Source organism: Homo sapiens, chromosome 13 (assembly GCF_000001405.40).
Source record: "Homo sapiens chromosome 13, GRCh38.p14 Primary Assembly".
NCBI classification, from domain to species: Eukaryota; Metazoa; Chordata; class Mammalia; order Primates; family Hominidae; genus Homo; species Homo sapiens.
The window spans coordinates 99,377,966-99,386,847 of NC_000013.11; the positions used below are offsets into that span (position 1 = coordinate 99,377,966).

At 48.1% G+C, this 8,882-nt stretch overlaps 1 protein-coding gene across 7 annotated transcripts in view, besides 2 other annotated features; it reads left to right on the forward strand.

Moving 5' to 3' along the window:
- The window catches only part of UBAC2 (UBA domain containing 2), a 185,651-nt gene extending 177,112 nt beyond the window's left edge, over positions 1-8,539 (forward strand). For all 7 annotated transcript variants that reach the window (NR_026644.2, NM_177967.4, XM_011521083.3 and 4 more), the window contains one exon: positions 7,263-8,539. Coding sequence is in view for 6 of the 7 variants with exons in the window: in NM_177967.4 (NP_808882.1) it covers positions 7,263-7,370 (108 nt within the window). In the remaining variant the exon portion in view is untranslated. The remainder of the gene's footprint in view (positions 1-7,262) is intronic.
- Positions 5,370-5,664: a silencer, noted in NCBI's record as "tiled region #8816; K562 Repressive non-DNase unmatched - State 23:Low". NCBI's record gives its function as "represses a minimal TATA promoter and a strong SV40 promoter by Sharpr-MPRA in K562 cells {active_cell/tissue: K562}" and the evidence as "EXISTENCE:reporter gene assay evidence [ECO:0000049][PMID:27701403]".
- Positions 7,392-8,010: an enhancer, noted in NCBI's record as "H3K4me1 hESC enhancer chr13:100037611-100038229 (GRCh37/hg19 assembly coordinates)". NCBI's record gives its function as "activates a minimal SCP1, AML or CMV promoter by ChIP-STARR-seq in primed H9 embryonic stem cells {active_cell/tissue: H9 hESC(primed)}" and the evidence as "EXISTENCE:reporter gene assay evidence [ECO:0000049][PMID:30033119]".
- Positions 8,540-8,882: the final 343 nt, after the last annotated feature.

Sequence of the window (8,882 nt, forward strand, 5' to 3'; positions counted from 1 at the left end):
CTTCCCCTGCATTTTTATTTCACGGAAGCATGAACCTGGTTTTCTGTCCCTACAAGTTGAGTATCCCTTATCCAAAATGCATGCTGCTCTAGTCCTTCAGTAAGCCCATCACATATTTTCTCTGTGTCGTCTGTAGACACTTTTTCTGCAGCGTTAGCATCATCTCCATCATCACTGTTGTCACAGTCACCTTGACTCAGAACCATCTCAGCTATTTCACCATGGGTCAGTTAATGAACAGCTGGAGCCCCCTTATCGATATTAAAAACTTCAATATCTGGCTGGGCTCAGTGGCTCATGCCTGTAATTCCAGCAAGTTGGGAGGCCGAGGTGGGCAGATCACTTGAGGTCAGGAGTTCGAGACCAGCCTGGCCAACATAGTGAAACCCCATCTCTACTAAAAACACAAAAATTAGCCAGGCATGGTGGCACATGCCTGTAGTCCCAGCTACTTGGGAGGCTGAGGCAGGAGAATGGCTTGAACCCAGGAGGTGGAGGTTGCAGTGAGCCGAGATCACATCACTGCACTCCAACCTGGGTGACTGAGCAAGACTCTGTCTCAAAAATAAAATAAAAAATAAAAACTTCAATATCCACTTCTTCTGGCTTACTGACAGACTCGAAGGTATATTTTTTACCTGTTAGGAGGTCAGGCATCATTTTATCCTCATTTGACATGTGGAATCCTTCAAAGTCACCACCTTGTTCGTCATCATCACTGAACATAGCACAGGCCAGAGGTTGTGTCAGGCTTGCATAGCTGTGTTCTCAGTCACTGTGTTCCATGCATTGGCAACAGCATGTGTGGCATCCTTCACGCTAAACGCCTGTTGAAAATCTTCCATACCCATTCATTTGTTGCTAGCATGTTGTTCAAGAAGGTACTTTTATATTTATCCTTCATTGATCTAAGAATACCTTGGCCACATGGCTGAATTAATGGAGTCACATTTGGGGAAAAGTACATGGCATAAACATGATTTTTGATGAGATGTCAGCTGGAGGATGAACAGAAAAGTTGTCAAGGTATAACAAAATATTTCAGTCATCATCCAGCCCAGCTTCCCTGCAGTGAGCACAAGCCACAGGTCCAAAATGTTTGTGAGACCAATCAGAAAAGATATCCCTAGTTAAACATGCCTTTTTGTTAGCATAATAATGGTCTGGTAAGAAATTCGCTGCTTGAAAACAGCAAGGACACAAACTTTTGCCTGTCATGCAAGTTTACGCTTATGCATGCCTGCTGCATTAGCACATCCCAGCAAAGTTGTTCTGCCCTTGATGTCCTCAGTTCCTGGAGGGGCTGTCTCATTAGCTGTAGTTGTGTCTTTCTGGAGCAATAAAACCAAAACAGTGATGTTCCATCAGCATTATAGACTTGTTCTGGCATCAGATTTTTGTCAGCAATGACCTTGGCAAACTCACCAATGAATTTCTTTGCTGCTTCATGATGCTTTGTCACCACATTAAAAAATTTGGTTTCATGTTTTTTCTTAAATTTCTGCAGCCAACATGTTGAATATTCATAGTTCCTTTTCATTTTCAGTTCCTCATCCTGATAGATCCTTGCTTGTTTCCTGACCCACATAGCATTAAGTGGCAGGTGTTCACTGCAACACCAAGGGATCCATCCTCGGTACATGATCAGGATCTTCATTTTTAGCTTTATGCAGTGTTTCTCTATTTTTCATTAATTTCTGTTTATCACTTTTAGCACAGAACTTCAACAGTTTATCCTTCTGTTTCTTCAGATCCTATATGGTGGTCACTCCAACACCATACTCTCCTGTAAGACGTTTCACACTTACACTGCTCTCCACTTTCTCCAACAGCTTGACTTTCTGTGCTATAGATAAACATAAATCTTTTTCTTATCACTGTTACCCAGAGGGTATCTGCACACCTTTTAGATATTTTAACAACATTTTTATAACACAGAGCAGAAAGTAAGCAAAAAAGCACAGTGAGTGACGCACGTGGGTTTTGGCCCCATGCAGGTCATTGTGGGGAACCTGCCCACTGGCATGTGCTTGCGTGGGGGAGTCGGGGCATGTGCAGAAAAGGCATGTCACAGCTGAAGGAGGGTGAGAGGGTCTCTTTTCCCTTGGAGACACTGAATAAACTACATGTTGTGGCCTGCATTTTGACTGCAGCCCATCACATGAGGTCAGGTGTGGAACTTGCCATTTGTACTGCCATGTTGGTACTCAAAAAGTTTCAAATTCTGGAGCATTTTCGATTTTGAATTTTCAGATTAGGAATGCTTAACGTGTGTTTTGCTTACCTGACTGCACGTCTGCGCAGGCCTCAATTTCGTCTTTCTGTAATTTGAGCACAGGAGTTGATGCTTCACATGCCGAGTAAGCTTTCCCAGGAGAGACCGTAATGAGATGTGTGGGGACTGGGCGTGCTGGGCTTCTCTGAGCAGAGGAATAGTGAGAGCCACAGCAGTAATTGTTAGTGTCCACCAAAGAGCCCTACAGACAACTGTTCTCTGTGCTGCTAGTTTTTGCTCCAGTTCTTACTGTCTATATGGTGAACCTCTGAAACTACATAAAGAAAGGACAGCAGGGGCCACTTGGCTAACTTGCACGGCTGTGAGCACTGCACTGCACCCCTCCACTGGGGAGTATTGGGTAAGCACCCATCGGAACACCTATCCCCTGACCCTTCTCGTCCTTGCTGGCTGGTTGTCATCGCATACCCAAGCCCAAGCATGCAGTTTCAGTTTGCCATGGATGTTTAGTTTTGGACACTATGGGAAACCTTCAGGTGCCCTTTCTTAGTGTAATTGTTTATTCTTTTTAAAGAACTGTGCTAACATTATTGCTACTTAGCAATAGTTTTTAATCTGGTGAAAATAACAGGTCAGTGGGCAGTGAAAGTTCTCCTGTCACACTTGTCTTCTCACCCATAAAAATCACTTAAAGCTCTGAAGCCAGCTTTGGCTAAAGGGGCATGATCTGCCCCGCAGAGGATGAAGAGCGAGCCCGCTGCAAGCTGTGACAGCAGACGCTCTCTTCTGCCAAGACCTGTGAAAAGCCAGTCTTAGTTGTCAAAACCAGCACCGCGGCACATGTCGTTCATGTCTGAGAGAATGAACTCAGAAGGAAGTCTCGTGTACATAGAAAGCTTTCGTTCTTACTCTAGGATGTCACCTACGTGACTTACAACCCAGCCCAGCCATCCCAGACCTAAGGGGTTCTTCCCTCTCCAGGGCAGGGCCTGCATGCAGTCCATGCTGCTGCCCTGTGTTGGTGACCTGTGTGTAGCCAGCCCATTATCAGCATCCTGTGGATTCCAAACCAAATGTATCATCAGTGGAGGGAGAGCTCAAGTGCCAGGTGGAGCTGTGGCCTAAAGTCACACTTCATCACTCCAGATTATGAATCGTCATTTGCCAGATCTCCAAATTGCTGAGTGTGGACAGCAAATGGATTCGTTTGTGCTGGCTGGGTGCAAAGAAGCAGCCAGTCCTCAGCTGCACTTGAAGTACTACAGGTAGTAGTAAAGGTAGCTTTTCCAAGCCGTTTAAATAAACGTCATTAAGAGTGGCCAAGTTGTTTGGGGGCCATGGCATCATGGTGGTGGATAGTAGGTGGAAGGAAGGCAGGCCAGCTCCCGTTTGGCCTGAGTTATCTCCACCAATGACAATGGTCCTTAACTGGAGGGAACATCATACAGGTTATTTCCACCCAAGATTGGAAAGACCACCTTGATCAGAGAGAGTTTTCCTTCCACATGACACATATCCAGCCTGAGTCCTCCAGCCCCTCTCCCTGCACAACCTGATGGAGGCTTGAGAAAGCACAGGGAGGAACACTTAGCTTGAAAATGTTCCTAAGGAAAAGGAAAGTGTGAATTCTGAGAACCAAGTGGCAGAATTGAAGTTTCACATCTGGCAAAAGCTTAAACAGATTATTATCAAATAGATGGTTTGTGAACGTTGAAAAGACAGCTGTGGTCTAGGACACCAAACCAATCCTGTTGGCAAGAGATCACCAAGACCTTTGACAACATCTCATCAGCTTATGAGAGATGTTGGTGACATGCAGAATGGATAATGATAGTGCAATGAAGTGGGTTTGAAACTGATTAAAAATGTTGATTAACCCCTTGAACACAGAGTTCTGGGCTCTTTGACCTGACGTGTTTGACATTTTCATCAATAATAACTTGAACAAAGTTGTAGAGGTTTACTAATCAAATTTAGGCATGATACAAGTTTGAGGGAGATGATTAACAGTAGATAACAAAATGAGAATTGAAAATAATTCATTTTGGTTGACTGGAAAATGATCAGATGGAATTTAACAGAGATATGTAGAGTCCTAGACTTAAAAGGTCAGGTAGGATTTGAGAGACCTGACTTGACAGCATTTTATGTGAAAATTCCTGAGTGTTTTCAGCAGGCCCAGCTTAACTGGCCACACCAGTGATGCAGCTCCTTACACAAGTGCATGCACAGGCACACACAACACATATGCACACTACTAATGCATTCCTCTGCTCTCATTGAAGCTAAGGGCCCAGACTGTTGGAGGGCAGTGGCCTCACTGCCCTGGTGAGACCACACCCGTGGTGTCACACTCAGTTCTGGGCGCGGTGTTCTGAGACGGTGTGCACAAATGGGAGGGGATGGGCTGAAAGGAACTGGATCCTGAAACACAGGAATGAGCAAAGGCAGCCACAGCCCTCATACTGGGAGTTCACAGTGGTGGGGAGAAGCTATCACCCCACAGACACAGCTGCAGGGAGCCCAGGACAGAAGGCAGTGGGGCAATGAGGACTTCGCTCTGGGGGCCTTCTAGTCTGGGAGACATGGAAAAAGGCAGGGGCCCCAAGACCCACCAGGGGAAGAGGAGTCATCAGGCTCAGGGCAGAGGGCAGAGACAGCAACACAGCAGAACAAGCCACGGTACCCACAGGCCTGGGTGGGGGCCGAGAAAAGCCAGTGGGTTGAGGGAGGAAGGAGAGGGCTGTCACACCCGCAAAGTGCTTTATGTAGGAAAAGAGAATAGGGTTGTTCTCGGTTACTTCAAAGGGCAAAATCAAGAGCTGTGGCATTGTGTGGATGGCAGCTTGTGAGGGGCAGAACACCAGGGTGGCAGCATTCTCAGCCACCTGGCAGTGAGGCCAGGGCACTCAGCCACAGCTGATGTGCATATGATGCATTAGTAGTGTGCATGTGTGTGTGTGTGCCTGTGCACGCTCTTGTGTAAGGAGCTGCATCACTGGTGTGGCCAGTTAAGCTGGGCCTGCTGAAAACACTCAGGAATTTTCACATAAAATGCTCTCGAGTCAGGTCTCTCAAATCCTGCCTGACCTTTTAAGTCTAGGACAGTACATATCTCTGTTAAATTCCATCTGATCATTTTCCAGCCAACCAAATGAATTCTTTTCAATTCTAGTTTTGTTAGCTACTGTTTTTTGTTTTTTGTTTTTTTTATCTACGACACTCTCTCCTCTGGTGGGAAAACAAACTAGAAGGTTTCTGCCTTTGCTCTACGCTGTCCACCAGCCCTGGGCAGCTGAGCATGAATCACCTGAGGGCGCCATAGTGTCCCAGGTGCTGGGCATCTTGCTGCTCCAGGACAGCCCTCCCCACCGCAAGGCATTTGGAAGACACCTGGCAGCCCTTCTTGGCTTCCTAGCCAGGGCTGTGCGTCAGTCCCCGTGCTAAGGGTTGAAAGCAACGTTCCGGGGAGGAGCACGCTCACTGCGTGCATTTGTAAGCCTAGTCCTCACCCACTGAGTGGTCCCATGACATGGGCGGCACCCCCCGTTTGGAAAAGCCCTGGCTGGACTCCAGCTTCTGAGCAGTGTCCACTGCGTGTCCCTGTTGGCCCTCAACTCTTCCCTAAGGCTTTTGGGGGAGGAGGGTCTGGGTGTCTGGGCCTGGGTGGTCACTGGGAGGTTCCCTCCCCCACCTGCCTCTCTACTCTCTGCACCTTCTTCCTCACCTTGCTGAGTCCTTAGGTTAATTTTGCTCAGAATATCCAGAGTTAGCCACTAGGCTGCGGGTGAAGTGGGATAGAGAGGAAGAACAGCAGGCTTTCTGGAGCCACATGCCCAGGCCCATGCCCGGCCCCTCCTCCAGCCACCCCATGCCATAGTCCCCATTCACACCCACTGAGTCCCCTGAGCAGAGGAAGGGGTGGTGATACTGGGCCCCTTCTCTTTCCACCATGTAGCACCAAGTAGCTCGCTCTCTTTCGGAAAGAAAAATTGGAAACTCTGACTAAGTCCTCAGGTGAACCCACAAAAGCCTCTTTAATGCGCAAGTGGCTAAAAAACTCAACATGTACAAGACTGTTGACTTTGATGAGGTGTTACTGCAAGTGCAGTTTATTTTAATATAAGTACAAAAAAAATGTATTCCTGTGGCAATCTGGGGCCATGAATATTTTTGTAATATATTCTTAATTGGGAAAAAAGGTTGCAAATAAGCTTTAGTAACATTGCCAATTTCAATACTGGAGACTGCCTGTAGAGAAAAGTACAGGAAATCTCCGTATTCACAGAATCAGGATTTGTGGTCAAAAACAATGCATGCTTGTTCCTCCCTGCTTCTGGTGGCTTTCACTGCCTCCTTCCTCAGTTGCTGCCCCAGGCTCAGCCCCACTTTGCTGCCTGCGTAAGCCCCAGGCTGCAAGTGGCACAGCTGTCAAAGTAGTCTGAGCACCCAAAGGCAGGCAGTTCTGTGGCAGTGACGCCAGGAGTGCGATGCCAGGGCCGAGCATGGCAGTGACGCCAGGAGTGTGATGCCAGGGCTGAGCGTGGCAGTGACGCCAGGAGTGTGATGCCAGGGCTGAGCGTGGCAGTGACGCCAGGAGTGTGATGCCAGGGCCGAGCGTGGCAGTGATGCCAGGAGTGCGATGCCAGGGCTGAGCATGGGTCACCACCATAGGGAATCAAACGACGCTGAGTCGTGTGTCCTCGCAGTGAGCCTGGGCAGCTCATGCCGACCTGCTTCCAAGGCCTGGTCCCAGTAGGCCACTTTACCCTCAGAAGCCCTGTGTCCTTGTCTGTAGAATGAGGGTTATGTGCGATCATGCATATATATTGGCTACACATAGTGAACATTGAAAAATTTGTACCTGGTATAACTTTTAAGTATCAGATTCCATATTGAAATGAAAATTGGTTTTTTTGTAAACAGTTTTGACCTTTGCCACAAGGCTCACATGAAGAACATTTGGGGCCCAGGGATAAGCGGCAATGTCAGCGCCCTCAGGTTTCTGCGTTTTCTCTGCCTGCAGGTCGCCCGGCTCATGGAGATGGGATTTTCCAGAGGTGATGCTTTGGAAGCCCTGAGAGCTTCAAACAATGACCTCAATGTCGCCACCAACTTCCTGCTGCAGCACTGATAGTCCCAGGCCAACACTGGGACCGGACCGGCAGCCGAGTGACAGTGCGTGGTCCCCACCATCAGATCAGCCCGGGGACCGAGCATCTCTGGTGCTGATGTTCTTGTGGGAAGAGGGAGGTTCCACCGCACCCCTGCCCTCAACCGCAAGACTGTTGCCGTTTTAGTGTGGAGATAAGTTTGCCATTACATTAGCATGTATTTTCTATCTATATTTTTTATTGGGCATTTTCCCTAGGTTGGAGAGTCAGCACTCGTTTTGAATGTGTTTAAAATGCATTAAAATGGAAGATTTCTGCAGGCAGTTGAATGGCACTCCAGATGGGGAATTGCTGTAACCCTCTTACTGTAACATGTCATCTCCTGCGTCGTGATGGGGAGAGGGTAATGTTACTTCACAAAGGACATGTCAGATCCTTCTTCATGGACTTTTTTAGTTACTGTTTTTTCTCTCAAACTTGTTTTCGAATCTCCTGGGAGTGAGGGAGAAACAGGGAGCTGAATCCTCCCCCAAGCTGTTCCAGGCCAGAGGACTCTGCAGTACCTTCTCCTACATCTAGTAACAAAGAATGGTGATAACCATGCACTGGTTCAAGGTTCTGGAGTTCTCCATGAAACTTGGGTTAATTTTGCTCAGAGTATCCAGAGTTAGCCACTAGGCTGCGGGTGAAATGGGATGGAGAAGAACAACAGCAGGCTTCCTGGAGCCACATGGGCTGACTAGGGCACTCTGTGGCTGGCCTGGCATGGGCTCAGCCCAGGAAGAGGAGAAACGATCCCTTGCCTGCCCCTCCCTGTGGCAGGGCTAACTGCCTGGCCCTCCTGGCTCGCAGCCAGCCAGCCCCCTGGCAGCAGGTTCTCCTCAGGGCTTGGGTCTTCAACCTGTGGCGACAGGAGGCAGGGCAGACTGTGGAGGACAGGATGCAGGTCAGGGAGAGGGAAGGCAGGGGTGGACCGCCATGAGCATGAAAAGACCCGAAGCAAGTTGACTCTTGCAATGTGCAACTGTTATGTTCTGCAAAATGAGCAACGATGTATCAAATTGATGCAAATTTAGATGTTGATACTTACAATAAAGTTTTTAATGTGTTTTACTCTTCAGTATTTTTCTATCAGACTTGTACAAATAAAGCCTTGTTCCAGGCTATACATATTTACCAGTCAACCAAATCCTCCGCACTGCTCGTCTTTCTTCAGACGACTGGGTGCTCATTTGAAGTGAGTGAAGTGCTTTTGTTCCTGTAAGTAGCACTGCCCACAGTGGCATTACCTGTGCAAACCTGGAAGCTCGGCCTCACTGAGGCTGCCTGGGGCCACTAGCTGCTCAGAGGGGGGTCGAGGTGACTTTCTTGGAGCCCAGCTGGTCCCACGCACAAGCCCCTCCTTGAATCTGAATTGCGCCATCTCGGGTTGCAAGGAACAGTTGATGGTGGTGGAGATGTCCCTGACTTCATTCCCTAACTAGGCCACAGTCAACACCTCCTGAGTGCTGAGCAAAGCCGTGTGTGTCTGA